The 19,115-nt window shown below is 41.9% G+C and overlaps 1 long non-coding RNA gene and 1 pseudogene across 1 annotated transcript, besides 4 other annotated features; one reads left to right on the top strand and one right to left on the bottom strand.

Moving 5' to 3' along the window:
- Window positions 1–339: part of an enhancer, noted in NCBI's record as "OCT4-NANOG-H3K27ac hESC enhancer chr19:20170471-20171415 (GRCh37/hg19 assembly coordinates)", that runs on past the window's edge. NCBI's record gives its function as "activates a minimal SCP1, AML or CMV promoter by ChIP-STARR-seq in naive H9 embryonic stem cells {active_cell/tissue: H9 hESC(naive)}" and the evidence as "EXISTENCE:reporter gene assay evidence [ECO:0000049][PMID:30033119]".
- BNIP3P13 (BCL2 interacting protein 3 pseudogene 13) overlaps window positions 1–432 on the bottom strand; it is a 3,814-nt pseudogene extending 3,382 nt beyond the window's left edge.
- Window positions 340–1,285: an enhancer, noted in NCBI's record as "OCT4-NANOG-H3K27ac hESC enhancer chr19:20169525-20170470 (GRCh37/hg19 assembly coordinates)". NCBI's record gives its function as "activates a minimal SCP1, AML or CMV promoter by ChIP-STARR-seq in naive H9 embryonic stem cells {active_cell/tissue: H9 hESC(naive)}" and the evidence as "EXISTENCE:reporter gene assay evidence [ECO:0000049][PMID:30033119]".
- Window positions 7,198–7,924: an enhancer, noted in NCBI's record as "H3K27ac hESC enhancer chr19:20162886-20163612 (GRCh37/hg19 assembly coordinates)". NCBI's record gives its function as "activates a minimal SCP1, AML or CMV promoter by ChIP-STARR-seq in naive H9 embryonic stem cells {active_cell/tissue: H9 hESC(naive)}" and the evidence as "EXISTENCE:reporter gene assay evidence [ECO:0000049][PMID:30033119]".
- Window positions 7,208–17,713, top strand: LOC105372309 (uncharacterized). The gene is made up of 3 exons (XR_936387.2): window positions 7,208–7,438; window positions 14,987–15,890; window positions 17,682–17,713. It is a non-coding gene; the product is annotated as an uncharacterized LOC105372309 (long non-coding RNA).
- Window positions 7,925–8,652: an enhancer, noted in NCBI's record as "H3K27ac hESC enhancer chr19:20162158-20162885 (GRCh37/hg19 assembly coordinates)". NCBI's record gives its function as "activates a minimal SCP1, AML or CMV promoter by ChIP-STARR-seq in naive H9 embryonic stem cells {active_cell/tissue: H9 hESC(naive)}" and the evidence as "EXISTENCE:reporter gene assay evidence [ECO:0000049][PMID:30033119]".
- Window positions 17,714–19,115: the final 1,402 nt, after the last annotated feature.

Genomic DNA, 19,115 nt, shown 5'->3' with positions numbered 1-19,115 from the left:
TTAATCACCTGGGTGCAGGCGGGCTGAGTCCGAAAAGAGAGTCAGCGAAGGGAGATAGGGGTGGGGCTGTTTTATAAGATTTCGGTAGGTGGAGGAAAATTACAGTCAAAGGGGGTTTTTTTCTCTGGCGGGCAGGAGTGGAGGTCACAAGGTACTCAGTGGCGGAGCTTTTTGAGCCAGGATGAGCCAGGAAAAGGACTTTCACAAGGTAATGTCATCACTTAAGGCAAGGACCGGCCATTTTCACTTCTTTTGTGGTGGAATGTCATCAGTTAAGGTGGGGCAGGGCATTTTCACTTCTTTTGTTATTCTTCAGTTACTTCAGGCCATCTGGGCGTATACATGCAAGTCACAGGGGATGCGATGGCTAGGCTTGGGCTCAGAGGCCTGACAGTACTTACATTCATCTTGTGTCAGCTTTTTTTTTTTCATGTAGACTTATCATTTAGAATGTGCTAGAGCAGCCTCTATGAGGGGATCTCTTCTTTGATTGTACTCCACTTGCTGTAACACCAAAGGATGCAGAGCCAGGTGGATCCTACCTAGAATCTGCAGATAAGGTCTGGGCTCTGCTTCGGATTTACAAATAAGGGCCGGAGTTTGGATAAAGAATGTACAGAAAACTAACAAAAGGCATTTTCTGCATTGTGAGATATCAACATACACATCTTACAGCCCCCATTCGGGAGTGTGGTTCTTTGAGATTTTTCATATCTTGTTCACCTGCTACAGTTATGTGAGAGGACCCAGGAGGAAATAGAATCTGATGGCAGAATCTGTAACTATAAATAAGCATCTTAGGAGTGAGAGATCAAGGCCGCAAAACATCCAGAGCCATGACCACAACTATATTTGCCTTTAAAATGTGATTTTTGTATTTTACCTGAAAAATTAGTATTTTTGTTCTTTCTTTTATCCAAGAGCTAGCAAATAAGGACAAATGATCCAGGTTCTGGAGTTCCACCAAGGCAGTTCCATTTTCTATTTAGAATCAGCCTGAGTCTCTCCAGAGTGGCTTATCACTGGACTATCAGCCCAGGGTCACTGGGAATTCCCTCAAAATCACCTAGGTGTCTTTGAGGCATTTGAGGATGTACAATGCAGAATTGTGTCAGGCTGACAAGAGTGGTTAATTCTGCTTCTGTCTCAGTGTATGAGAAATGAGTCATCTGTGTTTGTTCATCCCCTCATACAAGAGGTGTCTTTGGTTGGTACCCAGATGAGAGTTTCTCCAGTTTCCTGGTACTTGGATAATAAAGAAGGAGGAGATCTGAAGACCGAAATAGATAAACTAGTTGCTTCAATTTCACATGGCCATTAAAAAAAATACATGAAGCAGTCATAGTTTCTACAATCCAGAAACTTTTAGTCTACACTAGCGACTGGATAAATAATTGAATTGTGCATCATATGGTTGGTACAATAAAAAGATGTGTCCAACACCTTGGGCTTTATTTAGGCCACTTTCTTTATATTGTTGTGACTTCTGATTCTACATCTGAAGGCACATTTAGGAACAGAAGAATTGTTATTATAATTTCTTTTTTTTTTTTTAAATGGAGTCTCTGTCACCCAGGCTGGAGTGTAGTGGTGTGATCTCGGCTCACTGAAACCTCTGCTGCCCTGGTTCAAGTGATTCTCCTGCTTCAGCTTCCTGAGTAGCTGGGATTACAGGTGAGGTGCCTGCCACTGTGCCCAGCTAATTTTTGTATTTTTAGTAGAGATGGTGTTTCACCAGGTTGGTCAGGCTTGTCTCAAACTACTGAACTTGTGATCTGCTGGCCTCGGCCTCCCAAAGTGCTGGGAATACATGTGTAAGCCACCATACCCGGCTGTAAAATTTGTATTTCCTTTACCTTGCTAAGTGTACATATTTATTTTCTAATAAAATTTCCCTAAAAATGCCAGGTATGGTGGCTCATGCCTGGAATCCCAACAGTTTGGTGGGGGGCCTGGACAGGTGGATCATGAGGTCAGGAGCTTGAGACCAGACTAGCCAATATGGTGAAATACCATCTCTACTAATAATACAAAAATTAGCCAGGTGTGGTGGCACACCAGGCTGGGCAACAAGAGCAAAACACCATCTCAAAATCAATCAATTAATTAATTAATTTAAAAATCAGACTTTATTAAAGATCTTCTGGAAAAAAGAAACCTGCAAAACAAGGTCTTCAACTTACTGTACATATTAAAATTTGAGAGGTGCCTTCTAACACAACATGTCTTTTCCATCTGAAAAATATTCACAACTCATTCCATATGAAGAAAATATAGCACTGAAAAATATACACGTTCGTGAGGCTGGGTGCGGTGGCTCATGCCTGTAATCCCAGCACTTTGGGAGGCTGAGGCAGGTGGATCATTCCCGAGACCAGCTCGGTCAGGGAGACCCTAACCCAGCGGTGCTAGAGGAATTAAAGACACACACACAGAAATATAGAGGTGTAGAGTGGGAAATCAGGGTTCTAACAGCCTTCAGAGCTGAGAGCCTGGAGCAGAGGTTTACCCACATATTTATTAACAGCAAGCCAGTGATAAGCATTGTTTCTATAGATTATAGATTAACTAAAAGTATTCCTTATGGGAAATAAAGGGATGGGCTGAAGTAAAGGAATGAGTCTGGCTAGTTATCTGCAGCAGGAGCATGTCCTTAAGGCAGAGATCACTCATGTTATTGTTTGTGGTTTAAGAATGCCTTTACATGGTTTTCTGCCCTGGGTGGACCAGGTGTTCCTTGCCCTCATTCCGGTAAACCCACAACCTTCCAGCGTGGGCATCATGGCAATCACAAACATGTCACAGTGCTGCAGAGATTTTGTTTATGGCCAGTTTATGGCCAGATTTTGGGGATCCTGTTCCCAACAGATCATGATGTCAGGAGTTCAAGACCAGCCTGGCTAACATAGTGAAACCCCGTCTCTACTATAAATACAAAAATTAGCCAGTCGTGGTGGCAGATGCCTGTAATCCTAGCTACTAGGGAGGCTGAGGCAGAAGAATCTCTTGCACCTGGGGGAGGTAGAGGTTGCAGTGAGTCGAGATTGAGCCAGTGCACTCCAGCCTGAGCAACAGAGTGAGACCCCATCCCCCTCCAAAAAAAAAATATATATATACACATGTTCTGTTCACGCCCTTAATTTTATACTTATTATCTAGAAAAATATCATTATAAGAACTGATGTTGTGGATCTTATGCTGCTCTTTTTTCTCAGTTAGAGAATACATTAGAGAATATTTCTGTGTTGAAAATTATTTTATTGGATAATTTTAGTCAGTCCCATAAGTCAGAGCCAGTTCTCTTTACTTTGTCATTACACCTTAAGTCAAATTAAAAGTTCTGTCCATGGCCACATGGTAAAAATGTATGTGTGTGTGGGTGTGTGGGTGTGTGGGTGTGTTTCAGGGACCATTGCAATTTAGAGACGTGGCCATAGAATTCTCTCTGGAGGAGTGGCATTGCCTGGACACTGCACAGTGGAATTTATATAGGGATGTGATGTTAGAGAACTACAGAAACCTGATCTTCCTTGGTGAGGATAACTTGAGTACATAATTCATAATATACCCTAAAGGTTTTATTTCTCATTTTTGTAGAATGTGTTTTAGTCATTTATTCTTTGCATAAAAGAGTTTCAGATCCCCTTTTCCCAGAAAATCTTCAAAATTTGTTCATTTAGATAAGAATTTCAAGATGTTTCATCGTAATCCTAACTTTCCACATTCCTGAGTTGAGCTGTATTCTTCACTGTAAATTAGTGGCAATTCCAGAAATTTAGTGGCATAAAATATTGATTGTTGCCGCACCTGAAAATCTAATTGCCACCACCAATTTTTGATTCAATAGTACCAGATAGTAAAATTAAGAAACCTACAAATTGAAAGTATTTTCTAAATATTTAGAAATTTCTTTTATAACTTAGTATTTTTGTATTAATTTACTAGACTATTTTATCACATCCTCTCTGCCGAGCACATTACTAGCTTGTAATTAGAGAATGCGAGCAAGATTTATGTTTCTTATTTTTAATAAAACAGGTATTGTTGTCTCTAAGCAAGACCTGATCACCTGTCTGGAGCAAGGAAAAAAAAACCTTTGACTATGAAGAGATGTGAGATGTGAGATGATTTGCATGGTATGCCAGAAGTAAATGAGATAATTAGTAGGCACTCCATATTTACTAAAATAGTTACTTATAAATTTAAGTTTGCTGCAGGCAATAAGGAATTATAAGATTTTTATCTACTTTCTTCAGCCTATAACTAAATAATAACATAGTTTATTTCCTAATATATGTTTTACACATCAGAGGGTCTAACCCTATTCTGCAAAATATATATCTATATATATATTTTTTTTTTTCTATGTTTAACAATGTAGGTCGGGCGCGGTGGCTCATGCCTATAATCCCAGCACTTTGGGAGGCCGAGGCGGGTGGATCACAAGGTCAGGGGTTCGAGACCAGCCTGACCAACATGGTGAAACCCTGTCTCTACTAAAAATACAAAAAAATTAGCTGGGCATGGTGGCAGGCGCCTGTAATCCCAGCTACTCAAAAGGGTGAGGCACAAGAATCGTTTGAACCCGGGAGGCGGAGGTTGCAGTGAGCCGAGATCGCACCACTGCACTCCAGCCTGGGCAACAGAGCAAGACACTGTCTCAAAAAAAAAAAAAAAAAAAAAAAAAAAAAAGTAAGGCTATTCTTTGCTTCTAAAGTTAGATTTCAGCAGTTTCATCTTGTGTAAGAATAATGTATATTTAAAACATAAAAAGTAACTCTAGTTTTTTAAATGCTTTTTTATTAAAAGTTTCTCATTAGAATCTATTTATAACTATACTGCATATTCTCTCAAATTCTATTGCCACACAGTGCATGCCAATGATTCAAAATACCTGCATTTAATAAGTACACAGTAACAGCTAAATACTGCAGTTACTGAGACAAATATTTTTTAATTATTTTTTTGAGATGGAGTGACACCCTGTCACCCAGGCTGGAGTGCAGTAGTGCAATCTTGGCTCACCGCAACCTCCACCTCCTGGATTCAAGCAGTTCTTATGTCTCAGCCTCCCAAGCAGCTGGAATTACAGGCATACGTCATCACGCCCAGCTAGTTTTTATATTTTTATATGAGATAGGGTTTCACCACATTGGCCAGGCTGTTCTGAAACTCCTGACCATAGGTGATCCACCCGCCTCGGCCTCCCATAGTGCTGAGATTACAGGTGTGAGCCACTGCACCCAGCCTGACAAGTTTTTTTTAATGATACATCAATGTTGCATACCAGGTTTTATGAGAGTAAACATTTCTCTTATTATTGTTTTGAAGTTTCATATTAGTGTGTTTTTTCAGTGTAGGTTTTTTTTTTTTTTTTGGAGATGGAATCTCACTCTGTCACCCAAGCTGGAGTGCAGTGGTACAATCTCAGCTCACTGCAACCTCTGCCTCCCGGGTTCAAGCGATTCTTCTGCCACATCCTCCCAAGTCCCTGGGACTATAGGCACGTGCCACAATGCCTGGCTGATTTTTGTGTTTTTAGTCGAGATGGGGGTTTCACCATATTGGCCAGGCTGGTCTCGAACTCCTGACCTCGTGATCTGCCTGCCTCAGCCTCTCAAAGTGCTGGGATTACAGGCATGAGCCAACGCGCCAGGCCTCATTTGTATTTCAATAGGGTCTCATTCGGTCAACCAGGCTGATTTGCAGGGCTCACTGCTGCCAGAACCTCCCAAACTCAGATGATCCTCTCATTTCAGCCTCTCAAGTAGCTGATTTACAAGTATTTGCCATCGCACCCAGCTAGCTTTTTTGTATTTTTTTGTAGAGACAGAGTTTTCCCATGTTGCCCAAGCTGGTGGTGAACTCCTCAGGTCAAGTGATCAGCCCATCTTGGCCTTCCAAAGTCCTAAGACTACATTTCATTTTATTAAGTAGTTTACTTAATTTATATTTAAAATAATTTATTAAGGAAATGAAGTTATTACTAGTTATATTGTTATTGTTTTATGTGTTTCTAGTAGTTATATTTTTCTCATTTTCTGTTTTACTTGGTTTCTTTTTTTTTTTTTTTGAGACGGAGTCTTGCTCTGTCACCAGGCTGGAGTGCAGTGGCGTGATCTCGGCTCACTGCAATCTCTGCCTCCCGGGTTCAAGTGATTCTCCTGCCTCAGCCTCCCGAGTAGCTAGGACTACAGGCACGTGCCACTAAGCCCAGCTAATTTTTGTATTTTTAGTAGAGACAGGGTTTCACCATGTTAGCCAGGATGGTCTCCATCTCTTGACCTTGTGATCCACCCGCCTCAGCCTCCCAAAGTGCTGGGATTACAGGTGTGAGCCACCACACCCAGCCTGTTTTACTTTCTTAATTTTTATTTAACTTTCTATTGGCATGCTTTGATTGTATTTTATTTTGCATACTTTCTATAAATATTATCTTTGTAATCATCTTGAAAACTGAAGATTACACACACCTTTTTTTTTTTTTTTTTTTTTTTTTGAGGTGGAGTTTTCCTCTTGTTGCCCATGCTGGAGTGCAGTGGCGCTATCTCGACTCACCGCAACCTCTGCCTCCCAGATTCAAGTGATTCTCCTACCTCAGCCTTCCGAGTAGCTATGATTACAGGCATGCGCCACCATGCCCGACTAATTTTGTATTTTTAATAGAGATGGGGTTTCTCCATGTTGGTCAGTTTGGTCTCGAACTCCCTACCTCAGGTGATCCACCCACCTCGGCCTCCCAAAGTGCTGGGATTACAGGCGTGAGCCACCGCGCCCGGCAACCTGATGGGTTTCAAATGACCCCCCGGGTGCTCCACATCTCAAAAGTTGCTCCCATGAATCTGGAATGCTATCTGTTCCTTGGGGATCAGGTCCCACCTGTGTCTCTGAGACACTGACTTGAGATGAGGCCAATGAGTTCAAGCATAAATTGCCTAAGTCATCATCAGCTTCATGTTGTGTTCTGGAGCTTGTCCACTTAAGAGGGTTGATTTAAAAATGGCTCACAAGACACATGCCTGGGAAACGGAGTTTTCTCCTTTGCTCTTAGCAGATCTTGGGCAACCCAATAATTAACCTTCTTGATTTCTCAACTTTCACATTTGCGAAAAAGGCGCTAATGCCCGTGACATTTCCCTGAAGACACAGTCCTTGTCACCCCCTACAAAGCTCTGAAGTTGTGCACAGGTGGGCCAGGTGGCTGATTTCTCTCAAAAGCAGCTGAGCTCGCGCTCTGGCTAGAGAAGGCAGAGGGCTGCGGCACAACGGACATTGTCTCAGACATCAGGACAGTTTCCATTGCAGTTTAGGAAAGAAGGCAGCTCCCTGGGCTGGAAATGACGCAACACTCTGGAAAGACCCTTGGGTGCGGGTGAGAGAGGCAACCCAGCTGCATAGGGCCAATGAGAGGAGGCCGAACCACCCGATTTGGACAAAGGTGAGGTATACTTCCTAGCCTAATACCCTCCTCAATGCCCAGCCCAGACCTACCCTTCACGTCCCTAGCTGTATTCACTCTCCCTGGCAACGGGGCGGCATGGAATTGGCTGCTAGCAATGCTTTGGACACCGGTAAGTCCACACCTCTCAGCCCCTACCTCCAGGACTACGCACCGCCCCCATGCATACTGGGATTGTAGTTCTGAAGCTACCTACTCATTGGCTAAAAACCGTGAAGAGACTACAGCTCCCAGCATATCAGGCGCGGCGCGCACCGCCCTGCCCCTTCCTCTAGTGCTGCGAACTGCTCCCGATCCTGGTACAGGCTGGGATTGTAGGTCCCGTAGCCTTGTGGCCAAAAGGCTGGGAGTTGCCATGAGACTACATCTCCCAGAAAGCTCAGCGAGGCGCGCGCCGTTCTGCCGCTTCTTCCAGTGATGCGCACAGTCCCTGATCCCTGTGCGCGCTGGGATTGTAGTCCCGCAGCCCTGCCATCGCTGGCCGGCATTGGTTAAGAAATTTTAGCTCCCGGCATGGTGGGCGAAGCCTCCACCTTCAGCGTCGCTCCTCCATGCCTTCAGAGCAGTTCCGCCCTGCGGAGGGGGAGCCTTCCTGTTCTTTAACCTCTCCTACCTGACGGGAGTGAACGTAGCCAGGGCAGCTTGTCTCAGCAAGTAACTGTGATCCCGCCTCCCCCAACGTGCTGGTTTCCTGACTTCCAAAGTGCCGAAAGTTTGATTTCTCACAGACCCTCAAGGGTCTGGGATCGTTTCCCAGCCTGCTCAAAGTTGCCATGGTACTCACCCTCTGGGAAGTTGGAACACTCAGTGACACCATGTGTTCCTTGAAACTAATCTGTGTCGCCTTTTAGGCTTTTGAGACCACTTGAACTCTGACTTTGTGGCATTTATTACCAAATCTACTAAAATGGGTCAACTGTCTGATTTTACCTCCTTTTCCACACATGTTGGTTAGGTAATTTGTTGATTAGACATGGTTTCCTCCAAAAGGGGATTATCTCTTCCTGATTGCCTCCAAGAGAAGGATGAAACGGTTGGGGGCTCTAAGGATCTATTTCCCAAATTTGAGATTCCACATTGATCATTCCTGGGCAAAATGTGGCATTCTTTTCCATAACCACAACCTTAGGCCAGCCTGAGTGCCATCGCAGCCCAATAGGGCTTATGGGACTCCAACTTAGTTCTGGTTAAGTTTTGTGTAAATATACTTGTCTGTATTTCACCTGGCTCTACTGGATAAAATGTCTAGGAGAAAGTAGGAGGTAAGAAGAATATGGGTGAAATTATAGGTAATGGAATGGGACACACTGGTTCTGTGGAGGTAGAGAGAGAACAACAACCTAAAACCCAGGGAATGAACAACTTACCTCAGAAGTTATGGAGAATGAAGGGGCATTAATAAGTTTTTGTCTTTCTGAATTACTCCTTGTGCAACCCAGAAAAGAGTATGGGAATCCTTTTGGGCCAGGATAGGAGTAGTATTTGTTAGACCAGAAGGTAAGGCAGAGGCTGTGAATTCATCTCCTCCTTTTGGCTGCCCATATTACCCTTAAGAATCCTTTGAGACTATTCTGTCTCTGTGATGTAGGTGTGGAATTCTAGGGGGCAGCGTGCACACTCAATGCCTAGCTTCCTGAGACCACAGTTCCTTCAAATGATGGATGATATGGTTTGGCTGTGTCCCCACCCAAATCTCATCTTGAATTCTAGCTCCCATAATTCCCGTGTGATATGAGAGGGACCTGGAGGGAGGTAATCGAATCACGGGTGTGTGTCTTTCCCAAGCTGTTCTTGTGGTAGTGAATATATGTCACGAGATCTGATGGTTTTATAGAGGGCAGTTGGCCTGCACATGCTCTCTTGCCTGCCACAGTGTAAGATGTGACTTTGCCTCTCCTTGCCTTCCTCCATGATTTTGAACCGACCGCCCACCTCCAGCCATGTAGAACTGTGAGTCAATTAAACTTCCTTCCTTTATAAATTACCCAGTCTTGGGTATGTCTTTTTATTAGTAGCATGAGAACAGGCTAATACTATGGAGAACAGCTGCTTTTTTCAGAAGAGACTCAGTCCCCCATAGGTAAGCTGAAGCTGGAAGCTAGGCAGCATTGATTACATTTTCTCCTTCTGTGAACTGGGGCTTCTCTTTCTGAGAACTGGGGCTCCTCCTTCCCATTTCCTACCACTTAGAGATGAATCTGTATTAGTCAATATGTGCGTAAATTAGAGACATAGGTAAGGGAATCTTAGACAGCCCCCAGCATAGCTTGACTCTTGCCTATTCTCTTCCCACTTTATGAAATCAATTATGTTGGCACAGAGAGATACCTTAAGATGGGGTCTCTCAGGAGCAATTAGAGCAGCATACTTCTAGAGAAGCTGATAAGACAGAGCAGGTGTGCCAGTGAGGATCAAAGCTTTTGTCCACATTTTTGAGTCAATCTGTGTGTGACAGATGACTTTGGGAAAGATCCCAGATCCCTGGAAGGAACCATTAAGAGAGGATTCATGTAGATCAGAACGCTTGGGCGTGTGTTCATCAGTGATCTTCTAAGTCAAATTCTCAGGGTTAAGTCTGTGGAAGGGCTGCAGAGCAATGCTTCCCTGGGAAAGCCTCTGATCATGTGTAAAATATGTGGCTCTGGCACAGGGAGACATCTTTATCTGACAGAACATCGTACTTTTGTGGATGTGGGATTCTTTGCCCTTCCTTAGCAGAGCACCACTGACGGATTGTTTGATAATCGTGCATACATAGGCCTTTTTGTTTTGAATTTCTTAAATATTAGAACAGGAAAAAACATTTTTATCCACTTTCAAATTGAGTAAGAGCGTGAGCAACTTCAGGGAAAATGTCACAGGAGGAAACTCTGGGGCCCTGCCCATCCCCAGAAACCTCCAAAATCCTGATACAACCTGTAGAATTCACCTTATCAACACCAATTTATTTTTCTGTATAGATTTATCTTTCATTGGACCTTTATTTTGTTCTATGTCATGAAGAATGAGTCATTTCTTTCCTTTGTGATAGGAACATCGGTTTTTCACACGTCAAGTATTAGTGATGCCATCCTCCACTAGTTTTTCCTGCTTATTAAATTTTTGCTGTGGTTTAAGTATTTGTGTCCCCCTCCAAATTCATATGTGGATAGTATTAGGCATGCGACCTTTCGGGAAGTGACTAAACCAAGAGAGCTTCATCTTCCTGAATGGAATAAGTGAGGTTGAAGGGAGTGTCCTTGTCTCTTTTGCCATGTGAGGACACACCAAGAAGGTATCATCTGTGAGGAACTGGGCCGTCACCAAACACCAAATTTCTTGGTGCCTTGATCTAGCACTTTCCAGCCTCCAGAACTGTGAGCCATAAATTTCTGTTGTTTTTACATTACCCAGCCTAAGTTATTTTGTTACAGCAGCCTGGATGGACTAAGACAGTTTCTTAGGCACTTTAGTCTATTTCTGAATTTTTAGTTCCAATGATCTATTATTAGCTTTTTTAATCAATCAAGATTTTTCCCACGGCTGGCCAATATTATCTGTGTTTTGTTGTGTGTGTTTTTTTTTCCACAGTTTTCTTGGCTTTTCTTGGCTTTTCATCTGTATGCTGTTTTATTTATTTATTTATTTATTTATTTATTTTTGAGACAGAGTCTTGCTTTGTTGCCCAGGCTGGAGTGCAGTGGTGCAATCTCGGCTCAGTGCAACCTCTGCCTCAGAGGTTCAAGCAATTTTCCCGCCTCAGCCTCCCAAGTGGCTGGGATTACAGGTATCCACCATCATGCCTGGCTAATTTATGTATTTTTGTAGAGATGGGGTTTCACTATTTTGGCCAGGCTGATTTTGAGCTCCTGACCTCAGGTGATCCACCCGCCTCAGCCTTCCAAAGTGCTGGATTACAGGTGTGAGCCACTGCACCCAGCCTATATGCTATTTTATAGTAAAATGCCTACCTCAATATCTAATGATATCTATATTAGAACAAAATTAAATTTCTAAATTACCTTAAAGACAATTGATATTGATAGTATATTGAGTTTTTCTGCCTAAGAACATGTAAGTTTTCTATTTGCTTATGTCTACATTCATATATTGTATGAACATTCTGTCTTTTCTGATATTCTGTAAACGTTTTTGTAATATGGATTCCTAGATAGTTTATTTTATTCTGCTAAAAAGTAATCTGAGACGCAATAAAATTGTAAAGAGTTTGAGTAGGAGCAATTGATTAATTATAGGACACCAGTCTAAAAGAGGTTTAGTGTTTCATTGACAGTGTAAGAGGCAACTATTTATTGGGAAAATGTAGAAACAAAATAAATTACTCAATTAGTGGTAGTTAGAAACTTGTTTCTTCTCGGTTTTTGGTTTCTTTGCCTTGTTGAAAAGTTCCTAGCTATATAAGGTTGTTGGCTACTTCTGATTGGTTGAGATTCATTTCTGTTTTTCTTTAAAATAGGCAGCTACAAGAAAGAATTCAAGTTAAGTTTTGCTTATGTTTGGAAATCAAGCAAGGTTGAGGTTACTTATGAGGCCTAACTGATTTGGTCTGCTCAGGAATTCTTCAGGCCTGACCTCCATTTTAATTTACCTTAACAATCTTTTTGTCATTTTATTTTCCATTCCAACTGAAATTTACAAATTATTATTGTTGTACATAGGTTGGTGCATGTTGTGTATGTCTTGAAGGCATGTCCTGCTTTCCAACTGATTTGTAGTATGTTATTGAATTTGCCACATTTATTGGAATAATAAACTGCTATCCCCCAGTTACAGCAAGAGCTATCAGTTCTGGGGAGATCAGGTTGAAGATGAAGCAGAAGCGAAATCAGCTCTTCAGGCCAGGTGCCATGGCTCATGCCTTTAATCCCAGTACTTTGGGAGGCTGAGGCAGGTGGATCACTTGAGATCAGGAGTTCAAGACCAGCCTTGCCAACATGGTGAAACCCCATCTCTAGTAAAAATACAAAAATTAGCCAGGCGTGGTGGTGCGTGCCTCTAATCCAGCTACTTGGGAGGCTGAGGCAGGAGAATCACTTGAGCCCAGGATGGGGAGGTTGTAGTGAGCTGAGATCGCACCACTGCACTCCAACATGGGCGACAGAATGAGACTCTGTCTCAACAAATGAACAAAGAAGGAAACAAAAAACAAAACCAGATTTTCAACCCACACATGCAGTAAAAAATTCCATGTGGATCAAATGAGTCATTATCAAAAGTTTAAAATACTCTCAAAACATTAATGTTTATCTCATCACTATGTAATATGGAAATTATAAGACCAAAAAAAAAATACCCAAATACTTTTTATTTTATTTTATTATTTGTTTTATTTTATTTTATTTTTTTGAGACGGAGTCTCGCTCTGTTGCTCAGGCTGGAGTGCAGTGGCGCGATCTCGGCCCACTGCAAGCTCCGCCTCCCGGGTTCACGCCATTCTCCTGCCTCAGCCTCCCCAGTAGCTGGGAATACAGGCGCCGGACACCAAGCCCCGCTAATTTTTTTGTATTTTTAGTAGAGATGGGGTTTCACCGTGTTAGCCAGGTTGGTCTTGATCTCCTGACCTTGTGATCCGCCCGCCTCGGCCTCCCAAAGTGCTGGGATTACAGGCGTGAGCCACCGCGCCCGGCCCCAGACTTTTATTTTTTAAATACAGATAAAGTCATTTATATGATGAAACACTGCATTATTTCAGTGTAAAATGCCAATAGAAAATATACAAAATTAAAGAACATAATATATAAAATAACAATGCTGGTATTAGATTTAATATCCTACAATAAAATAAGATCAATTGAACCTATAAAATGGAAGAAAGTTTAAAATTAGGCAGATATTATGAATCAGGTGAGGAATAAATACGTGTGTCACTAAGTACTTAATGTATCTTGTCTTAGATTTTATATTAAATAATAAAAAGTAAAAAAAGTAGCATGGTAATTTCACCATGAGTTTATCAAACTGCAAAAAATAGAAACGCTTCTCTATTAGAGAATGCTAATTAGTTTGTATCCACTAATTTGTGGATATCCGTCCTCCCTGGACTCAGGCTGAGAGAGTAAAGAGCTTCAGCTTTTTCTGAATTTAAGGGGGAGAATATAAATATACATATTCATTTTGATACATTGTACAATATACAAACATATATGCATGATTACATGCTAATTTTTTTTCTGATTATAAAGAAATGCATAACTGTCATAAGGTATCCAAAAGACATCAAATGTCTTACATGAAATATAACACATGAAATGTCAGTAGTCTTGGCCCTCAAGAAAACCCAGAGTTCGCCATTCTGAGTACATTGTTCAAGTTTTTTTCCTAGGACCACCACAGGTTCTGTCATTTACTACTACAATGAGTGTAAAAGTGTCTGAGAAGTAGCAGATCTTTATTTTTTCTGCAGGAGCTACATTTTCTGTTTCCAGAGTATTTGAAATGTTTGTTTTTCAGTGCCGTAAAGAAATAGCCCTTGAACATAAATTTAATTTATTTAGTAAGGGCATTTTTACTTCCTGCAGAAAGGGTATACTCGCCAGCAGTTTTGCCACAAGAGTACATCGAACAAAAGAGACAGGGTTATTTATAACCTGACGTATCCACCCTACTGCTGGAATGGGACCTCACATTCTGCATTTGTCCCGATTGGCTAGCAACTTAGAACTTTTTAAAAGAGACAAAGGTAGAGGAGAACAAAGGAAGTAGGAAGTAACTTGTGGAATGCTGAGAAAGGTAAAAACACTTTTAAATAAGGAAGAGGAACAGGCTATGACCTAATGCTTGCTTGGACCAGTATAAGCATGCCAGGGCAAATATTTAGGAGCACAGGTCTTTGAATAAATTTTGCTTCTAAGAGAAGTTACTATTTATTCATAATTAGATGGGGAGGAAAGTCTTTGAAGAGGAACCTCTACTTTACTTTTTACACAGAGTCCAGGATCTATAAGGCCCTAGTTGCTAAAATAACTCCCAGTTTCCTTCCCAGGGAAGACTGTGTTAATCCATCCTCTGTTTCTCCTCACCTTGGAAGAGTCAAATTCTTGCCTAACCTAGCAGTGCTGTTTCTGGCTTTGAGTTTAGTTTCTTTGGAATTACCCTCATTTGGATTGGGCTGTGGTAAAGAGGAGTTTAGGTGACTCTCCTCTCTCTAAGCACAGAGCCCCATAGTCTATCCCTAACCTGTATTTGTGGGTCATTCTCTCAGCTGAGGCTCTTCAGCCAGTGTCAAGAATGAACATGAAGAACATAGCTCTTGGGGATGATTGCCACATTTCTCAAAGCCCCCTGAGGGCTACAAGCCATTTCCCATCCTCAATCTCAAAATGAAACCCAAACAAAGACGCAGATTAGTATCCCTGATCACACACCAACAAAACACATTTATTTTGTAATTTATTTTCTCCTGATCACCGTTATGGTTGAATGCCTCTTTATGCTAGAAAAGTCCATTTGTATTTCTTTTACTATGGCATGTTTTTATAGGTTCTGTCTTATTTTTATTAAGTTCATGTTTTTACTCTTCATTATCAGGAGTTCCTACCATATTTTATTTGCAAGCCATTTCTCCCACATTATTCTGGAAGGCTGAAGCCTGTCGATGCATCCAAAAATAGATCTGTCCTGGATCTTTTCTCACAAGTCAGCCAGCTGTCAAGACACCTGAGATGTGATTCTTTCACATGGCAGAGCCTCTCGTCAAAACATGAACTGAGCTTCCTCTTATCTTATGGACAGCTGATGCGTGGAGGTGGATTTATGAATTGGCCTCATGCTGCACTCAAGCAGTTTGGCCAGGACTCAATGCTCATTGCCAAGATGAAAATCAGCAAACTAGCAGTTTGCTTTTATGATGTTCTCCAGCCTGCAACCAAGACACTTATCCTGGCCACTTCTTCAGCTCTGACATAAGGTTGTGCTGATATAAATGCAAACCCAGCTCTATGTCTACCAAACACCTATATGGCTAGGACTGCAAATGGAGCATTTAAGCACCAGGCAAGAGGTCTTCCCAGTTTCCAACCAGACTTTGTAGAATTTCCCCAAAATACTGACTTAGCCTCTTTCAGACCCTATCTCCCAAAGAGAATCAGAGAGGGGCTCTGGAAGCCATTTAGACTGTCTGGCCTCTTCCCTAGTGAAAATGGACTTGGATACAAAAAGGCAACCTACTGACCTCAAAGATACCAGCCCAGATACTGAGCATGGACCTCCTGCCTCCCCAGGACAGACGTCATCTAAGCCAGATCAAAGCCCACACTGTTCCTCCATGTGCACCTTTCAGACATGTTCCTGAACAGCCCTCTAGAATTGTCTGGAGATGGGACAAGAGGTGATGGAGCTCCAGGTTCAGAATGGCTGCCTCATCCCTCCCTCCTGAAAAGTCTATACCTGCTGATTAGAGCTCTCACACCTTAAGGGGCTTAGCCCTCCCCAAGTAAGTGTTCCCTAAAAGGACCTTCTGGTCTTTTTCTACTCTGAGCAGAGTGCTCAGAAATGACACCCTCTATGCTAGGGAATATATGACCTCCACTCCCACACGACTTGGTTGACTGATGAACTGATGCCCTGAAGAGGAAAAAGAAGCAGGAACAGCCTGTTTCCCCAACCGTGATGTCTGTTGGAGGAACCCCAAATAATACTGGGTGGTAAACACACAGGCACTGCCTAATAAAATTAAGGAAATTTAAGTTGAATGTAAAGGGAACTTATATGTCATATACAAAATTTAAGTTAGTGAATTTTAGAAGAAAACTTTGTAAGGGCATTAACATATAATTTTAATATATAATTTTAATTTAATTAAAATTAATAAATTTAATTTTAATAACAATTTAATAGGAAGCTATAAAAATTATCTGCACTTGCTGTGTAAACAACTGAATTTTGGGTAACTATGTAAAGGCCATCTATGGGCTTCAAAAGGTATCTGCTACTTAATGTTATAAGACATTTACTTTCAAATATTTGCTATTTTTAACCAGTGCCTTCCTATGATATGAATTTTCTTCTTTTTTTCTTTCTTTTTTTTTTTTCCTGCGATGGAGTCTCACTCTGTCACCCAGGCTGGAGTGCAGTGGTATGATCTCAGCTCACTGCAAACTCCACCTCCCAGATTCAAGAGATTCTCCTGCTTCAGCCTCCTGAGTAGCTGGGATTACAGGCACCTGCCACTGTGCCTGGCTAATTTTTGTATTTTTAGTAGAGACGGGGTTTAACCATCTTGGCCAGGCTGGTCTTGAACTCCTGACTTCGTGATCCACCCGCCTCAGCCTCCCAAATTGCTGGGATTACATGCGTGAGCCACTGTAACCGTTCCTATATGAAAATGTTTTATTGTGAGGGAGCATTTCTATGAAAACAATAGTAGGAATTTTGCCAATTTGCATTATTAAAATAATAAAACTTTTTGGTGAGTTTATATTTTTCTTAACCAAATGCTCCTACAGATAGCATATTGCACAGATGTTTTGATTTGTCCTTTCACCTTAGGTCAATTTTTCTTAATTTTATTCATCCAATTGTATTTACTTTAGATAAAAGAGACTCTGTAGTTACCATGTGCTCTATGGATCCGTACTTTGTTAGAAATATGAATTCTCAGTCCAAACTCAGACCTATTTTATAAAAATCTAGATTTTAAATAATACTTTGAGGTAACTTATGGGTACATTAATGATTAAGTGGAGTAATTCTGTTCTTAAAAGAGGAGATGTTTATATGAGTGAGTTGATTTGTCCAAAAGGTACAGTTAAGATCGTACCTTTCAATGTATATACATTTTATCTAAAAAAAAACTAAAAAATTAATAAAGGGATGGGAAATGGGTTGAAATATCAATGAAACAAAAATGGCACATGTCAAGTTGCTGTTAAAGCTGGGTGACAGGTCTATTATACACCTTCTTTGTATTTTGGATATGTTTTTAATGCTCTGTAATAAAACACTTGTACAAAATGACAAAGTTGATCTACACTTAGCTCTTAAGCTCTTACTTTTGTGAAGAGAAGGAGAAAGTGACTGTCGGGCATGAGCAAGTCTGATTCTATTTCTTGGTTACACGAGTTTGGTCTGTAATAATTCATCAAGTTTTCCATAAATGTTTTGCGCATATATTTATGTATGCATGCTATACATCAATCAAAATTTAAATATTACATGTTTGCATAATAGTTATAAATTAATATTTGAGAATAATAGTAATGCTTTATTTTGTTTTCTTTTAAAGGCAGACACGTGGCGGGGTGCAGTGGCTCACGCCTGCAATCCCAGCACTTTGGGAGGCCGAGGCGGGCGGATCACCCGAGGTCTGCCCAACGTAGTGAAACCTCGTCTCTACTAAAAATACAAAAAATTAGCTGGGCGTGGTGGTGCATGCCTGTAATCCCAGCTGCTGGGGAGACTGAGGCAGGAGAATCGCTCGAACCTGGGAGGCAGAGGTTGCAGTGAGCCGAGATCCGCGGCACTGTACTCCAGCCTTGGCAACAGAGCAAGACTCTGTCTCAAAAAATAAAAATAAAATAAGGTAAGATAAAATAAAATAAAATGGACATGTGTGCTCAGGGCACCATCAGATGTATATTAATATTCCAAGTTATTGATTCATGTTCTAACCTTTGGGTGACCCCCTAGGTCTTTTAATTTTCACCTCAATTCGGTAAGTAGCATGGTTTTTTGTTTTTGTTTTGTTTTGTTTTTTTGAGACGGAGTCTTGCACTGTCGCCGGGGCTGGACTGCAGTGGTGCAATCTCGGCTCACTGCAACCTCTGCCTCCCAGGTTTCAAGGATTCTCCTGCCTCAGCCTCCCAAGTAGTTCGGATTACAGGCGCCCGCCCCCCCGCCCGGCTAATTTTTTGCATTTTTTGCATATTTAGTAGAGACGGGGTTTCACCACGTTAGCCAGGCTGGTCTCGAACGTCTGACCTCGTGCTCCACCCGCCTCGGCCTCCCAAAGTGCTGCGATTACAGGCGTGAGCCACCGCGCCCGGCCAGTAGCATGATTTTAACTTTTTGGGATGTGATTTTGTTTTCAGCAAGGTTCTCCCCTGAGAATGATGCTCACCGGGACCAGGGCACACAGCACAGTGCCCTGTGCATAGTATACACTGAGCACACATGGAACCAGGTTCAATCAGGAACAAAGCGAGTAGCAGAGGTTGGTTCTGCAAAGTATAGTAAGTGGGAAATGAGTTAAGATTGTAAGGTCACAACTCAGCAGCAAACGTTTTTACATGCATTTGAAAAACCATTTATAACTAATTCATCAAAACTGTTGATGAAGGCCAGGTGCGGTAGGTCACACCTGTAATTCCAGCACTTTGGGAGGCCGAGGCGGGTGGATCACGAGGTCGAGAGATCGTGACCATCCTGGCCAACATGGTGAAACCCTGTCTGTACTAAAAATACAAAAAGTTAGCGGGCGTGGTGGCAAGCGCCTGTAATCCCACCTACTTGGGAGGCTGAGGCAGGAGAATCGCTTGAACCCGGGAGGCGGAGGTTGCAGTGAGCCGAGACCGCACCATTGAACTCCAGGATGGGCAAAAAGAGCAAAACTCTATCTCAAAAAAAAAAAAGAAAAAGCTGTTGGTGAAAAGCAGTAGTTTGGGTACTTGGCTACACACTGTAATCACCCTGAGAGCTTTAAACCATATTGTTGCCCAGA

The sequence above is a fragment of the Homo sapiens genome, chromosome 19 (assembly GCF_000001405.40).
Source record: "Homo sapiens chromosome 19, GRCh38.p14 Primary Assembly".
In the NCBI taxonomy this organism is placed as follows: domain Eukaryota; kingdom Metazoa; phylum Chordata; class Mammalia; order Primates; family Hominidae; genus Homo; species Homo sapiens.
Note: the sequence above shows the minus strand (reverse complement) of the source record. Positions and strands in the feature narration are given on the sequence as shown.